Raw genomic sequence first — 14,203 nt, 5'->3', positions numbered from 1 at the left:
TGGCGGCGGGGAAGCGCTGGCTCTGGTTGTAGATGCGACCTCACCCTCACCCTGTCGGGAAGCCGGTTAGTAGACAGTTGGGACCCTGGAACCTCGGGGGCCAGGCAATGCAGGGCAAGTGCACATGCGGCCCCCTGGAGGGCGTGGAGCGAGGGAGACCCCAAACACACTGAGGAGCGCCCCTCCGGAAGAGAAAAGGCCGAGGTGTCAGGCACTCGCCGGTGAGGGCTCCAGTTGCACTGAAGCAGGTGTAGCCAGGGCTGTTCAACGAGGAGGGTGTCCTGGGTCAACCAGGTCGAGTGCACAGTATTGTGGGGGACCCAGGACCCCGTGGCCAGGCCCTGAGGGTGGAAGGGTGGGTGCAGACGCCATGTCTGCAGCAGAGGCAGAGGGACCTCGTCTTCACCTCTGTAAGATGGGTAGGCCCTGCCACCTTACAGCTGCAACTCCCACTGACCTCCATGGAGGGCAAGTCCCCAGCCCTAAGCCCCAAGCCATTCTAGGGGAGGAAGCAGGGCCACTCCCCCATGAGAAATTCTATCCTTGCAAACATACACCCCCAACCCACTCAGTGTCCCCAGCTGCAGAGGGCTGGGCACAGTTGGGCCTTGAAGGGACCCGAACAGGAAAAAACAGCCAGAGAGGAACAATGTCGAGTGTTGGGGGGAGGTGGGGAGACTGTTCTGGGAAACTTGAGGGCTGGCTGTGCTGGAAAGCCACCCCCATCCCCTACTAGGCAGGACACGGGTACCGCAGAGGGGAGGGGCGCAGACCCAGGAGAGGGATGAAAAGAGTTGGACAAAGACCCTGAGAGACAGCTGTGGAGGACAGGGACCCCGAGAAGGAACCAAGGAAGGGGAGCAAGAGGCCTAGAGACGGGGGACGGGAGACGCAGATCCACAGAATGGCAGCCACCAGCAGGTGCCAAGGCCGGTCCCCCCACTGCTGAGGCTGGCACTGCAGTACCTGCGAAAGGAACCCCAAACCTCCTTTGCCCCCAGGAAACAAAGCCAGACCCCAGCTGAGGATTTATTGGCGTAAATGCAACCATATAAAAACATAAGTTATGAAAAACACAGTCACGATGTGCCCTCCCCATCCCCCCAGCCCAGGCCCCTAAAACCCCCTTCTGCGGGAGGGAGGGAGAGGAAGGGGGAGCCCCGAAACCGCCTAGGAACGCTCAGCCCCTGGGCTCGTGCAGGGCGGGAGAGCCGGGCCTCAGCGCATCCGGTAGTCGGTGGAGCAGGACAGCTCGCACAGCTGGCCCTTGAAGTCCAGGTCGATGGTGAAGTCCAGGTCCCGCTGCAGGGAGAGGTGGGGCATGAGGGCGGAACCCACCAGGAGGTGGTGGCGGGGGGCGGGTGCAGGCAGGCTATGCGACGATGAGCCGGGCTCCAGCTTCCTGCCCATCTCCACGCTGCAGACCCCAACTGCTGGTCCCACCCTAGCAGCTGCCCTGACCCTGCCAAGGGACAGCACCACATGGACACCCCCAAGCCCACTAGACTCACTCAGGAGTAGAGCCCAGCTGCTGTCCCTTGCCCTTGGATTTCTCCATCAGGATGATTCCCATCAGCAATGCAGTGATTGCTTCTTTCATAAAAAAGAAAACCTCTCCCAAGCCCACTTCCTCCTCAGGCAAACGTTCCAGTGAAACACAATGGTCCAGCCTGCTGTCTCCACTTCCTCTCCTCCCCCCATACCCTCCAGCACATGAAGATGAGACAAAGTCACCAACGCCCGAGGACTCCTCCTCCCTCTCCAGTATCCGTTTCCCAGCTAGTGCCGTGGTCCCGGGGGCTGCATGAGTCTTTGTAGGGGGTGGTCCTGTGGCTGCAGGACATTTACCAGCCCCCTGGCCCCTACCTACCAGATGCCAGGACCACCCCTTCTCCGGAGTGACAACCACAAATGTTTCCACAGACGGTGGCAAACGTCCTGGGGGGGGGCGGGGAGCGGAGGGGGCAGTAAAACTGCCCAGTTGACAACTGCTGCTGTCACAGGCTCGTGGGTGTCCCAGGGTCCACATTCCATGACTACCCTGAGTGCCACCCACCCTCGCACCCATCGGCCGGGACCCACTTTTCCAACCCAGACCACTCCCGGCGACTCCAGGCTCCAAGCCTTCCATCCTCCTGCCTGCTCAGACCCACCACACTGGATCTCTGCCCAGACCCTGTCTCCGAGAAGCCCCCCCAGCTCCCCCGGAAGCCCCCTGATCTCAGGTGATGGCAGCTCCTGCCAAGTGCTCAGGAGGAAAAAGAAAGGGGAGCAGAAAACAAAAAGCTGCCTTTCTCCTCTCATGCCTCCCAGCTGGGCTAGAAAACCCCGTGCACTCTACTGGGGGCTGCCTCTTGCCCTGGAGCCCACCTACACCAACACCTGTCTGCCCTGCTCCCAGCCTGACAGAGGTCACCTCCAACTGGCATCACCATGTCACTGACCCCCTTGTCTAGAGTGGAAGCACCAGGAGGGCAGGGTTTCAGCCTGGGTCCCCAGGCCCATAACTTCCGGTGAATGCTCAAGCAATCCTGCTGTGTAGACAGGCATGGGGCTGAGGGGCTTGGGGACCCGGGAATAGGCAGAGGTGCTCGCCCCCGCCAGCTGCCCCCATCCCCCACCCCGGCTGCCCCCATCCCCTACCCCCGCTGCCACCATTCCTCCCCCACCACTCCCCCCCCAATCTACACTCCCCGCCCTAGCTGCCACCCTCCCACCCAGCTGCCCGGAGCCTCACGTTGTTCTTGGCGTTGGGCCGCATGCCGATGGTGCCGAAGATCTCCTCGCCCGTCTTCACGGTCAGGTAGTCCTCCATGTAGAACACCGTCTGCTTCCAGTGCGTGTACGGGGACTCGGGGCCTGGGGGCGCGGGCGGGTCAGCCGGCCTCGGCCTGCTGCCCCCCCCAACCCCACCCTTGCGTTCCCTCTGTCGGAATGCCCACCCCCATGACAGCTGATGGGACTGCTATCCGCGAGTCACCTCCCTGTCATTGAGCTTTGGAGACAGGGACCGTGTCAGCCTTTTGTGGATGAGGAAACTGAGGCACTGCACACTCAGGTCACTTGCCCAAGGCCACGTGACTGCTACATGGCAGAGCTCACACTGGAACACGCGTGTCCCCATGGTTCCTTCTGCCCGTTTCTGTCACCCCCTCCACTACGTGGGTGCGCCTCCGCCCTGGCTCGGGAACGGCCCCCAGCCCTGTGGGCCCCGCCTCACTGGTGGAGAAGCCGGTCCTCTTGTGGCAGCGTGTGAACTCGATGTTGAAGTAGGCCACCAGGGCGTGCACGTAGTCATTCCGCTTCACTTGCAGGCAGAACGGGGAGGTGAAGGTCAGGTCTTCCACCTTGACGGTATAGATGTCCACCTCCTGCAGGACATGAGAGGGCGAGCTCCGGGATGCGTCCCCACCTCGCTTCATCCCCTCCTCCCTCCCTTAAGCTCCCAGAGGGCCTGTGACCTCGCTGTCCCCTTCCTGCTAGCCCTCCCTCACTGGCACCCAGCCTCGGCTCCTCCTTCACTCTGCATCCTGCCTATCCGGCTCCCAATAAACCATGTGGGTTCGAGCCCAGATTCCTTGCTCCCTCCTCTCCAACACCCAAACCTGGCAGTGCCACCCTAACTCTGTCCAGACCTCCTAGAATGCAGGCGCCCCACTCCACTGTCTCCCCAACCCCTTGACAAGTCCAACAACATGATGGCTTCAAACGGCAACACAAATGCCAACCTAAACCCTGCGCCAGTTCCCCTGGCTCTCAGGAGGGTGGCCCGAGTGGGGTCCCTGCCCCTGTAGTCTCCTCTCCTCCCCCACTCAACAACTTACTCCTCCCCGACAGGATCCCCCGGTCAGCCACCCAGCTTCACCCGGCTCACACATCCCAGCTCAACAAATACTCATCGCCGTATTTTTTTTTTTTAAACAGGGTCTCAGAAGTAAAAAAAAACAAAAGGAAAAAACAAAACAAAACATTGTCACCAAAGCTGGAGTGCAGTGATGTGATCACAGCTCACTGCAGCCTTGAACTCCCAGGCCCAAGTGATCCTCCCGAGTAGCTGGGACCTCAGGCACATCTCGGAGCCCAGCCTGGCCCCGTGCTCTTCTGCAGTGGCCCGCGTGCATGTGCATCCGCTCATCGCCCTGGGGTCCTGCCTTTCCGTGCATGGGCTGTGGGCTTTAGCTGCCAGCTTTGGGTGTTTCCTCCGCCAGAAGCCAAGTGCCAAGCATGGTTCTCACACAGCAGCGCTCACAAAGATATTTAAAGGACGAAGTGTCTTTCCTGGGCCTCTAGCACCACCTCTGGCTGGCAGATCAGGCTCTGAGACCTCAGGCCAACATTCTGGGCCCCAAAGTCCCATGCCAGGGCCAGGTGATGGCCTCTCTTTGGTTTCAACCCAGGGGGCACCTGGCCATGCCCACCCCCTCACCTTTATGAGGCAGGCGTTGGTGACCAGCTGTTTGGGGTCCACGACATCCACTAGGGGCTCCTTAATGGCCACATCTTTGATGCAAGACATGTCGAAGCCATACACGTTCTCCCACCCTGGGGAGGCAGGCAGGGAGGGGGTGAGCCCGCAGCAGCCCACCCGAGGCCCCGCCCGCCAGCTCCCGGGCCGCGCTCACAGTGGATCTTGTAGTCTTTGTACTGCCGGTCCTCGATGGCCGTCACATACAGCGTGGCCCGGTCTGGGAAGATGAGGCCATCGGGCGCCTACAGAGGGGCAGGGCGAGGCATGAAGGGTGGGGCCTGGCAACACTACCCTGAGTCTTGCCTCCAAGATGTGGCCTCCTGCCCTGGTCTGGGCCACCCTCATGTCGCAGCGGCACTCACCCCTCGCCCCCTGGTCTATTTCCCACACGGCCGCCAGAGGGCACCCAGGGGCACCCCAGTCAGCTCCCGGCCCTTGGAGGTTCTGGGGATCCTCAGACCCTCCCTAGCTGCTCTGAGAGGAAAAGCACGGGGTCCCATAAGCCTCCACAAAATCTGCACACGCCCTGTCACCCCTCACCTCCACTCCTCCTCCTGCTGCCGTTCTAGACCCTCCTTCCACACGGGCCTCCCTGCTGTTCCACACGCAGCAAGGGCACACCTGCCCTGGCTGCCCCTCCGTATGCTTCATCCACCTCTCCGTCACCTCACCTCTCCCGGGGAGGCCTGCTGGGGCCTAAGGACCTGGGCTATTGCGCCGCTACGGATTTCCTGTTCCTACGACCTCCCCCACATCGCACCATCTCCCTCCAGGGTCTGTCACACCTGGCTTGGGCTGTGGCTTTCTAACACCTTGCAGCTAAGCCCCCACAGTAAGTCCCGTCTGTGGGAAAAATTGAGCGTGGTTTTCGTCTTCTACCTGGACCCCAGCCCACGCGAGCTGCACCCGTCCCGCTGGGGCCTCACCAGCCACTTGTCCCGGGCATAGAGCACGGTGTTGAGCATGGACTCGTAGAAGAGGCAGTAGCCCATCCACTCGCTGATGATGATGTCCACCTTCTCCACTGGGAGCTCCACCTCCTCCACCTTCCCCTTGATGATGGTCACCACTGCGGGCGGACAAGGGTGGCCACGTCAGCCCCCGGGAGGCCTGCCCCTCACCTCACCTCCCCCGGGGGCTAGAGCCTGGGGACCCCACTTCAGTTCAGAGAACTGCGTGAGCAGAAGCCATGAACCCTTCTAACAGTTTTAAAATTCATACATCGTTCTGGACATTTTTGAGGCAGGAGCAGAAATTTTATGTGGACTGGGTATCAGGTGATGTTACTTTTTTTTTTTTTTTTTTTTTGAGACGGAGTCTTGCTCTGTCACCCAGGCTGGAGTGCAGTGGCGTGATCTCAGCTCACTGCAACCTCCGCCTCCCGGGTTCACGCCATTCTCCTGCTTCAGCCTCCCGAGTAGCTGGGACTACAGGTGCCAGCCACCAAGTCCGGCTAATTTTTTGTATTTTTAGTAGAGACAGGGTGTCACCGTGTTGGCCAGGATGGTCTTGATCTCCTGACCTCACGATCCGCCCGCCTCGGCCTCCCAAAATGTTGGGATTACAGGCGTGAGCCACTGTGCCCGGCCGCGATTTTGTTTTTAACTGGGTGGTTTTGATATAATAAGTAACAGCATGATCACATTCTCAAAACAGCCTTTATCTATTAGATAAGACACAAGCAGACGCATTTACCGGGAAAATTACATCACAGTGGGAATTTGCTTCAAATGGACTCGTGCGTTCATTATAATAATCTCTTTTTAAAAATCACTTCAGGATGGCACGGTGGCTCACGCCTGTAATCTCAGCACTTTGGGAGGCCAAAGTGGATGGATCACCTGAGGTCAGGAGTTCAAGACCAGCCTGGCCAACATGGTGAAACCATGTCTCAACTAAAAAAATACAAAAAAAAAAAAAGTTCACACCTGTAATCCCAGCACTTTGGGAGGCCAAGGCAAGCAGGCAGATCACGAGGTCAGGAGATCGAGACCATCCTGGCTAACACGGTGAAACCCCGTCTCTACTAAAAAAACAAAAAAATTAGCCGGGCGTGGTGGCTGGCGCCTGTAATCCCAGCTAATTGGGAGGCTGAGGCAGGAGAATCACTTGAACCCAGGAGGCGGAGCTTGCAGTGAGCTGAGATCGTGCCACTGCCCTCCAGCCTGGCAAAAGAGTGAGACTCCATCTCAAAAAAAAAAAAAAAAAAAAAAAAATGCTGGGGATGTACCTATGATGGTGGTCATGCAAAAGAGCGGATGCCGCAACATCCTGGAAAGTGTTAAACGACATGACAAGCAGGTGTAAGAAGCCAAGGGCAAGAGGCTGGTATGAAATGCTACTGGCGTGAAAATTATGCACGAGAATGTAAATGCATTTACGTATGTATGTGTTTGTAGGTCCAGACTTCTCTGGAAGTTAGTGTTGGTTAAACTCAGAGGAGGGCAGCTGGGAAACAGGGAAGGCTTCTCACTGTGGGCCTTCCGTGGCCAACCACGTGACTCTATTACTCATTCAAGAAACTAGAGAGTGCTTCTTGCCCTAATTTTAAGACTGCGGTGCTAAGCCTGTGATTTTGACACTCAGATTCTCAGGCGGCCGGCAGCCCAAAAGACCATGGGTTGGGAGCTGCTGAATCTGTGGTCATCTGTAGACCCCACTGCTCTTCAGAGGGCCCTGGGGAAGCAGGGCATCACCCCCTCCACTCCCACAAACCCATCCTCTTTCTGGGCTCACCGTGGTCTAACTTGTTGGCTTTGACGATCTTCACCGCATAATCAGAGATACTGGAACACTCGATCTGAGGGCCCAGGAAGAAGGGAGGGTGAGACCCATCCCCTGCCCCCATCACCTCCATCCAATCCCTGAGCCCTGATGGGCTCCCCTCCATCCCTCAGGCCCGGCCCCGCCTGGCCACCCTGGAGACTCACCCCGATGACCTTGCGGGCCCCGGCCTTGGCAGCAAACATGCAGAGGATGCCGGTGCCCGAGCCGACGTCCAGCACCACCTTGTCCTTGAAGAGGTGCCGGTTATGAAACATGGAGTTGCGGTAAGTGAGGGTGCGCACCTCGTCCTTCAGCATCTCCTAGGGCAAGAATGGCACAGAGACGCCGTGAGGGGCCCCATATCCCCAGCTGGAGAACAGCGTGTCCTGAGAGCTCGGAGGGCCAGAGCTCGGCCCTCTCGCTTTCTTCCATGCACCTCAGTTTCCCTTTTATATTTATTCATTTATTTATTTTTATTTTATTTTATTTTTTGAGATGGAATCTCACTCTGTTGCCCAGGCTGGAGTGCAATGGTGCAATCTCAGCTCACTGCAACCTCCGCCTCCTGGGTTCAAGTGATTCTCCTGCCTCAGCCTCCCAAGTAGCTGAGATTATAGGTGCACACCACCATGCCCGGCTAATTTTTGTATTTTTCATACAGATGGGGTTTCACCATATTGCCCAGGTTGGTCTTCAACTCCTGACCTCAGGTGATCCACCCACCTCAGCCCCCTAAAGTGCTGGGATTACAGGCGTGAACCACTGCGCCCAGCCAGTTTCCCTTTTTAAAAAATCAGATTAGATGGTCTAAACTCCAATCTTGGCCGGACTTCACCACTGCTACCTAAGAACCAGTGAACCCTGGCTTTTAAAAGTCCTCAGGCTGGGAGCGGTGGCTCACGCCTGTAATCCCAGCACCTCAGGAGGCCAAAGCCGGAGGATCACTTGATCCCAAGAGTTTGAGACCAGCCTGGGCAACAAGGCAAGATTATCTCTACAGAAAAATAAGAACATCAGCTGGGCGTGGTGGCGCGCGCCTGTGGTCCCAGCTACTCCGAAAGTGGAAGTGGGGGGATCACCTGAGCCGGGGAGGTCGAGGCTGCAGTGAGCCATGATTGCACCAATGCACTCTAGCCTGGGCGACAGAGCGAGACCGTCTCTAAAAATAAAAAATGGCAATTTTATGCATATTTTGCCACAATTTTATGAAAAAGGCCTCAGGGGGAAAAGAAAATTCCTTAGAATGCCACCCCAGCTTCGTTCTGGGATTTCAGTGTCTTCAGTCAGATCTGAAGTGTGCAGAAGCTGTTAGGGCGGGAGCAGCCGGGGCGCAGTCCCACCGCCGGTCACTAGAGGGCGGCAGAGACCAGTGGGCCCTGCCCGACCTCTGGCTAAGGCCCCAGGCACGCATGCGCTCTCCCACCCCAGCCTTCGGCGCGAGGCCCCTGCAGAGATTCAGGCTAACCTCGGTCTCCAAGGCAACGGCTTGGCGAGGCGACCCTAGGAAGTGCGCAGCAGAGGGGCAGGGGGGCGGCCTGCGGCCAGGGGAAGCAGTGCGCATGCGTGGGAAAACAGGTTCCACCCCTTCCCCAACATTTAAGCCCCCCTAAGATTGGGGCCTTGGGGACTGTCCCCACTGACCTCGTGGATGCCAAAGTGTGCGTAGGAGTCAAAGTAGTAATCTTTGGATGTCATGTCCTCAGCGTTGGGCTTCTCACTGCTTTCCGCCTGGCCACAGGACACCTGGGAGGGGGCCGATGGGATCATGGGTCAGATCTGGGGGCTCCCCACAGCCTCTTAAACCTCCAGCGCCCTACTTTTCCCTGAAGAGTAGTATAGAACCCCCAAAATCATACCATGACAACCCTACAGCCCCCGCCTGCCATCTTGCCCCCCCAGGAACCCCAAAACCTAACAACCCCATTTTCCACTTCCAGGACCCCCCCAGAGCACCATCCAGGGGAGCACCCCGATACCTCAGCCACGCCTACCATCTCTCCAGTCTCTCTGACCCCGTCTCTAGCTCAGCCCACAGCTGGGGAGGGGAGGGGAAGGAAAATGGGGGCAGACACAGGGAAGGGCAAAGGGGGGTTGGAGGTGGAGTTAAGGAAGTAGCGGCGATACTGGGGGAGGCCAGCGGGGGCTGTGAACCTGGAGGGGTTGCTACTAAGTGTCTGGGGGCCTGGGGTAAACTGGTTTGAAGCAAGAGGGGTATGGTTAGACCTCAAGAAAGGGCCAGATGTGTGGCAAGATATATTGATGTGGAGGTCAGGGTGGGGAGGGGTCTCACAAAAGGATATTTACTTCTTCAAGAGGCGGCTGGAGGCTCATCCCATTAGCCAAGGTGGCTACAAAATTCTAGGAGAGAGTAACAGGGAAAAAGGATTAGCTACTGGGAGTGGCTGTGGGAGGGCTGGGTGGCGGAACCTGGGCTCTGGCCGGGGGGTGGGTTTCCAGCAATTCTCCTTCTTGGTGGGGAGTGGTGGCGAAGGGGGCAAGTAATGAGGTGGGGTGTTTAAGAAAGGGTGGGAAAAGTGAGGGGAGAAGAAAGGGGGGTCTCCTATCCCAGCTGTGGCTGGAGAGATGGTGGCCCACCCCCACGCTGCCCCTCTCTGGCCAGGCAGCTGACCACACACCTCCCCCATCCAGGCCAGGGGAATTGGCACCCACCACCGCCAGCTGTCGCTCCCTCTCATCACCTAATCTCCTCCAGATTAGGTGACACTTCCTGACACACACACCCCTATCCTAGGGTGCCATGAATAGCAGAAGGGAGCGGGGCTGGCAGGATATGCCCACAGGGCATCTGCCACCTCTGCAAACCAGTCTCATGTCTGAGAGGATTCCAGAATAGAGGTGTGGCACACGGGTACTTCCCCAGAGCTAGTACCCCAGACCCCAGCTCCTGCCTTGGACTCAGGAGCCCCAAACAAAACCAGCTGGAACCAACCCCCTCCCTTATGACCCTCTGCCCACGAAGGTAGGGTCCCAGGGAAGATGGGCAGCTCCTGGACCCTCTAAGAATGAGAGGACTCCAGAAAGTGGCTTGGGGGCACGGTGGCTCACACCTGCAATCCCGGCACTTTGGGAGGCCGAGGCAGGTGGGTCACCTGAGGTCAGGAGTTTGAGACCAGCCTGACCAACATGGTGAAACCCTATCTCTACTAAAAATACAAAAATTAGCTGGGCCTGGTGGCGGGTGCCTGTAATCCCAGCTACTCAGGAGGCTGAAGCAGGAGAATCGCTTGAACCCGGGAGGCGGAGGTTGCAATGAGCCGAGATCAAGCCATTGCACTCCAGCCTGGGTGACAGAGTAAGACTCCGTCTCAAAAAAAAAAAAAAAAAAAGTGGCTTGGGGAGTCAGGCCATCGCCCCCATTCAGACACCCATCCCAGGCCCTGAAGACTTCCAGGTGCGGCCAAGCCTGAGGCCACCTCTGGGAAAGTTATTTCCTCCATCCATAGAGCCCCAGGTGCAGGAGACAGCCAAGAGGGTGGGAAGTCATTACAGTGACCCCTGGGAGCTGCATCCTGACAGCTGAGAGCTGACCTGCCCCTCCAGCCAATGCCATAGGTAAGGGGTGGAAGGACAGAGGCCCCATCAGATTACATCTCTTCCAGATGTGACCACTATCCAAGTCTCCAAGAAGGGCCACGTCACAGGCCATGACCTACTAGGCTCCAAGCACCCTCCCTCCAGCTCTCCCAAGCTAGCGGGGATGCCTATAAGAAGAAAGGTGCTGAGGGGGTTTCCCACTCGGGCCTATTTCTCAATACCACTGAAAACTACCGCCAGACAACCCCAGCCCCAGAGGGCTTGAAACGCAAGACTGAAACCTCCCCCACATGGCTGCACGAGAACCAAACCTCACTCGAAACCATTTCAGGCACCCACTCTCAGGACCCCAGGGCTCAGGACCCTGCACAGGGCTTCAGGAAGAAGGAGGTCATCTCGCACCCTCACAAAGACCCGGGGGAGATAAACGGCTCCAGTAGGGTAAAGCTCTCAGCCTACATATTTCCCACAACTCCTTCCCAGCGGACATACCCTCCTCCCTCCGCCCGCCAGGAAGAAATCCGAGGGGAGGTGGGCTTCAGGACACGCCCCATGAAAAAGATGTCCCTCCCACACACCCAGAAATGGCCACAAGGGGGTGCACGGCGCCTATTAATGGGAAAATCTCTATCTAGATGCCCCACCACCACCCAGAGGGAGGTCACAGGGGCATGCCCCATCCCCCAACTCCTAAAGCCCTGGGCGAGGGGGAGAATTCTGGGAGGGGAAACGGGGTCGGCGGGGGACCCCATTCTTGGTTTTCCTCCAGTCCCTAACCCAGAACGCACAAAACCGGGTCCGATATCCCAACAGATGCCCCCGGAGCTCGGAAGGAGGTTGGTAAAGGGCTGAGAAGCACTGCTCCTCCCAAGAGACTCCCCACATCGTGGAGGGCCCCAGGTCGATCACACCCCACGGCGTGTGCCCAGGTCCCCGGGGAGGAGGGCTGGGGGCGTCAGGAGGGTCGGACCCCCTCCCCGCCCCCCTGGGCGCCCCTCCCCGGCCGGGGGCGGGGCCTTTGTCCCGCACGTGGAGCCCGCCGGGCCACTGGACTCGGCACACCCCCTCCCCACCCACCGCGCAGCGGCCACGTGGGGGCCTGGCCGGAAGCGCCCCCAGCCCTCCTCCACGTGGGAGGGGGGATAAGACCCTCCGCTAGGCCGGATGCCGAAGGCCCTTGGAAGCTAGGGAGCCGTCACCTCAAACGATATCCCCGGATGTGGAACGTGCGGCGCCCCCGTGTGCGGCGGGGGACCTCCAACCCCATATCGCCAACTTAGAGCCCTTTCCCCACCACAGAGGCGTGAAACACCGACCCAAAGCCGCCTCCCGCCCACGGCGGCGCTCCAAGCGCTCACCTCCATGATGCAGTTCGCGGCCTCGGCTGCCGCCATCTTCACCCGCACCTACTCCTCCTCCGGCCGCCAAGACCCCCCCTTTCTCCTCACTCCCCCGGGACCGCCTTATACCAGAGGGTCCACGGCCCGCCTACCGCGACCCCGCTGGAAGATTTCATTGGCAATGGAGGCGGCCCGTCTGAGAATACCGTCTAGTAATTGGCTAGAGAATACGTCCATCATAGGTCAGGGGTTTGCCAACTCTGGCGTCCAGAATCCCGCCCCCTCAAGTCGACCCGGGATGGGGAAAACTGCCCGTCTATTGCAAGAAGCGCGACTGGTGATTGGGCAAAATCCACCAGGAATGCCCTCCCCTTTACACCCAGCACCGCCTCAAAGCTTCCCGGGGAGCCCCGCGCTAAAGGGGCGTCTTGAAACACCTGTCCATCACCAAAACGACCCGCCTCCTAATCGCTGCCATTGGTTTATCCGGAAGCGACGTCACGCAGCCTTTGGCCCACCCTCGCCAAGCGGCCGGCCTCAAGGAGAACACGGCAATTGGCCCACGGGTAGGGAAGAAGGCGGGGCTTCAGGCACCAACGATTGGCTCAAAGGAATTATCACTCCTCGTCCACTCGGTGGATCCTCCCAACCCGGGGGGAGTCTGGAGGAAAAAGGGAGCTTGTGCTCATTACCTGGGGGAAAAACGGAATCGGTGAGAGGCCCAGAGAGAGGAAGGGCATAGCTGGGGTCCCGAAGCAAGTGAGGAATAGGAGTCCGTCGTCAACACATTAAATCCCTAGCCCTTGACATAATCATTCCAAGTTTTTTAAAACCATCAACCCCTCTCAAGCCACTTGGTTTTTGCCAAGTCCCTCCCCCTGCCAGGAACGCCCACCTCTCTTTGTCTGGTCAGCTTCTAAACGTGAATCAGAGCACAGCTTAGGCACCACTTCCTCCGGGAAGCTTTCCTTGATTTGCAGAAAAAGTTCCTAGTTGAATGAAGCTGAATGCAAAGGGCCGAATGCGTGGGTCCTGCCCCTCCTCTCCCCGATCCCTCTACTTCCCTCTGCTCACACTTCTCTCCAATCCCGGAATGAGCTCGCTCTTTGGTTTCTGGGCCTCCGCGCAGGCTATACTCTCTGGCGTGCCGCTGGCAAACGCCTGAGACTTAAAATTTACAATAGGGTTCGGGCGCGATGGCTCACGGGTGTAATTCCAGCACTTTAGGAGGCGGAGGCAGGCGGATCACTTGACATCAGGAGTTCGAGACCAGTCTGGGCAACATGGTGAAACCCCCATTTCTATTAAAAATACAAAAATTACGCCAGGCGGCCGGGCGCGGTGGCTCACGCCTGTAATCCCAGCATTTTGGGAGACCGAGGCGGGCGGATCACAAGGTCAGGAGGTCGAGACCATCCTGGCTAACATGGTGAAACCCCCGTCTCTACTAAAAATACAAAAAATTAGCCGGGCGTGGAGGCTTAGGCAGGAGGATGGCGTGAACCCGGGAGGCGGAGCTTGCAGTGAGCTGAGATCGCGCCACTGCACTCCAGCCTGGGTGACAGAGCGAGACTCTTGTCTCAAAAAAAAAAAAAAAAAAAATTTGGCCGGGCGCGGTGACTCACGCCTGTAATCCCAGCATTTTGGAAGGCTGAGGTGGGCGGATCACAAGCTCAGGAGTTCGAGACCAGCCTAGCCAATATGGTGAAACCCCCGTCTCTACTAAAAAAACAAAAATTAGCCGGGTGTGGTGGTGGGCGCCTGTAGTCCCAGCTGCTCCAGAGGCTGAGGCAGGAGAATCACGTGAACCCGGGAGGCAGAGGTTGCAGTGAGCTGAGATGGTGCCACTGCACTCCAGCCTAGGCGACACAGCGAGACTCCATCTCAAAAAATAATAAAATAAATAAAAATAAAAATAAAAAAATTAGCCAGGACTGGTGGCACACGCCTGTAATCCCAGCTACTTGGGAGGCTGAGGCAGGAGAATCGCTTGAGCTCAGGAGGTGGAGGTTGCAGTGAGCCAGGATGAAGCCATTGCACTCCAGCTCGAGCGACAGACCGAGACTCTAACTTT

The 14,203-nt window shown here is 58.2% G+C and overlaps 1 protein-coding gene and 1 non-coding gene across 9 annotated transcripts, besides 11 other annotated features; both read right to left on the bottom strand.

The window, feature by feature from the left end:
• Positions 789-1,529: an enhancer, noted in NCBI's record as "H3K4me1 hESC enhancer chr19:50191192-50191932 (GRCh37/hg19 assembly coordinates)". NCBI's record gives its function as "activates a minimal SCP1, AML or CMV promoter by ChIP-STARR-seq in primed H9 embryonic stem cells {active_cell/tissue: H9 hESC(primed)}" and the evidence as "EXISTENCE:reporter gene assay evidence [ECO:0000049][PMID:30033119]".
• On the bottom strand, positions 1,017-13,311 carry PRMT1 (protein arginine methyltransferase 1). Of its 8 annotated transcripts, none has more exons than NR_033397.5 (12): positions 12,148-12,193; positions 9,535-9,592; positions 9,211-9,324; positions 8,876-8,977; positions 7,399-7,554; positions 7,205-7,268; positions 5,395-5,537; positions 4,623-4,710; positions 4,427-4,542; positions 3,221-3,371; positions 2,738-2,859; positions 1,017-1,302 (listed from the first exon to the last, which is right to left on the bottom strand). NR_033397.5 is itself a non-coding variant. In XM_047438743.1 (12 exons), exons 3-12 carry the CDS (start codon positions 9,563-9,565, stop codon positions 1,219-1,221), a joined length of 1,053 nt encoding a protein of 350 aa, XP_047294699.1. In that variant the 5' UTR covers positions 9,566-9,592; positions 13,025-13,118; positions 13,204-13,311; the 3' UTR covers positions 1,017-1,218. The 8 variants fall into 8 exon arrangements, 7 of the variants coding, with proteins under 7 accessions (XP_047294699.1, XP_047294698.1, NP_001527.3 ...); XM_047438743.1 differs by lacking the exons at positions 9,211-9,324; positions 12,148-12,193 and adding exons at positions 13,025-13,118; positions 13,204-13,311 and having other exon boundaries at positions 9,539-9,592; XM_047438742.1 differs by lacking the exons at positions 9,211-9,324; positions 12,148-12,193 and adding an exon at positions 13,025-13,311 and having other exon boundaries at positions 9,539-9,592.
• Positions 1,530-2,271: an enhancer, noted in NCBI's record as "H3K4me1 hESC enhancer chr19:50190450-50191191 (GRCh37/hg19 assembly coordinates)". NCBI's record gives its function as "activates a minimal SCP1, AML or CMV promoter by ChIP-STARR-seq in primed H9 embryonic stem cells {active_cell/tissue: H9 hESC(primed)}" and the evidence as "EXISTENCE:reporter gene assay evidence [ECO:0000049][PMID:30033119]".
• Positions 4,684-4,763: a silencer, noted in NCBI's record as "silent region_10933". NCBI's record gives its function as "represses an Ori minimal core promoter by ATAC-STARR-seq in GM12878 lymphoblastoid cells {active_cell/tissue: GM12878}" and the evidence as "EXISTENCE:reporter gene assay evidence [ECO:0000049][PMID:35858748]".
• Positions 4,794-4,853: a silencer, noted in NCBI's record as "silent region_10932". NCBI's record gives its function as "represses an Ori minimal core promoter by ATAC-STARR-seq in GM12878 lymphoblastoid cells {active_cell/tissue: GM12878}" and the evidence as "EXISTENCE:reporter gene assay evidence [ECO:0000049][PMID:35858748]".
• MIR5088 (microRNA 5088) lies at positions 7,269-7,347 on the bottom strand. Its single transcript, NR_049811.2, has one exon. It is a non-coding gene; the product is annotated as a microRNA 5088 (primary transcript).
• Positions 8,538-8,702: a silencer, noted in NCBI's record as "fragment chr19:50184019-50184183 (GRCh37/hg19 assembly coordinates)". NCBI's record gives its function as "represses an EF-1alpha promoter that drives an FKBP-Casp9 reporter gene in an ReSE screen in K562 erythroleukemia cells {active_cell/tissue: K562}" and the evidence as "EXISTENCE:reporter gene assay evidence [ECO:0000049][PMID:32094911]".
• Positions 8,538-8,918: a biological region, named in NCBI's record as "ReSE screen-validated silencer GRCh37_chr19:50184019-50184183".
• Positions 8,549-8,918: a silencer, noted in NCBI's record as "silent region_10931". NCBI's record gives its function as "represses an Ori minimal core promoter by ATAC-STARR-seq in GM12878 lymphoblastoid cells {active_cell/tissue: GM12878}" and the evidence as "EXISTENCE:reporter gene assay evidence [ECO:0000049][PMID:35858748]".
• Positions 11,699-11,978: a silencer, noted in NCBI's record as "silent region_10930". NCBI's record gives its function as "represses an Ori minimal core promoter by ATAC-STARR-seq in GM12878 lymphoblastoid cells {active_cell/tissue: GM12878}" and the evidence as "EXISTENCE:reporter gene assay evidence [ECO:0000049][PMID:35858748]".
• Positions 11,699-12,554: a biological region, named in NCBI's record as "H3K27ac hESC enhancer GRCh37_chr19:50180167-50180898".
• Positions 11,823-12,554: an enhancer, noted in NCBI's record as "H3K27ac hESC enhancer chr19:50180167-50180898 (GRCh37/hg19 assembly coordinates)". NCBI's record gives its function as "activates a minimal SCP1, AML or CMV promoter by ChIP-STARR-seq in naive and primed H9 embryonic stem cells {active_cell/tissue: H9 hESC(naive and primed)}" and the evidence as "EXISTENCE:reporter gene assay evidence [ECO:0000049][PMID:30033119]".
• Positions 12,559-12,708: an enhancer, noted in NCBI's record as "active region_14954". NCBI's record gives its function as "activates an Ori minimal core promoter by ATAC-STARR-seq in GM12878 lymphoblastoid cells {active_cell/tissue: GM12878}" and the evidence as "EXISTENCE:reporter gene assay evidence [ECO:0000049][PMID:35858748]".

Source organism: Homo sapiens, chromosome 19 (assembly GCF_000001405.40).
Source record: "Homo sapiens chromosome 19, GRCh38.p14 Primary Assembly".
Taxonomy (NCBI): Eukaryota; Metazoa; Chordata; class Mammalia; order Primates; family Hominidae; genus Homo; species Homo sapiens.
Note: the sequence above shows the minus strand (reverse complement) of the source record. Positions and strands in the feature narration are given on the sequence as shown.

Bases quoted from the DNA above. Each gene is read 5' to 3' on its own strand.
- PRMT1 (NM_001536.6), bottom strand. From the start codon at position 12,183: ATGGCGGCAGCCGAGGCCGCGAACTGCATCATGGAG. The intron at 9,593-12,147 runs GTGAGCGCTTGG...ACTCTCTCCTAG, and splicing joins CCGCGAACTGCATCATGGAG to AATTTTGTAGCCACCTTGGC. The intron at 4,543-4,622 runs GTGAGCGCGGCC...CTGCCTCCCCAG, and splicing joins CAAAGACTACAAGATCCACT to GGTGGGAGAACGTGTATGGC.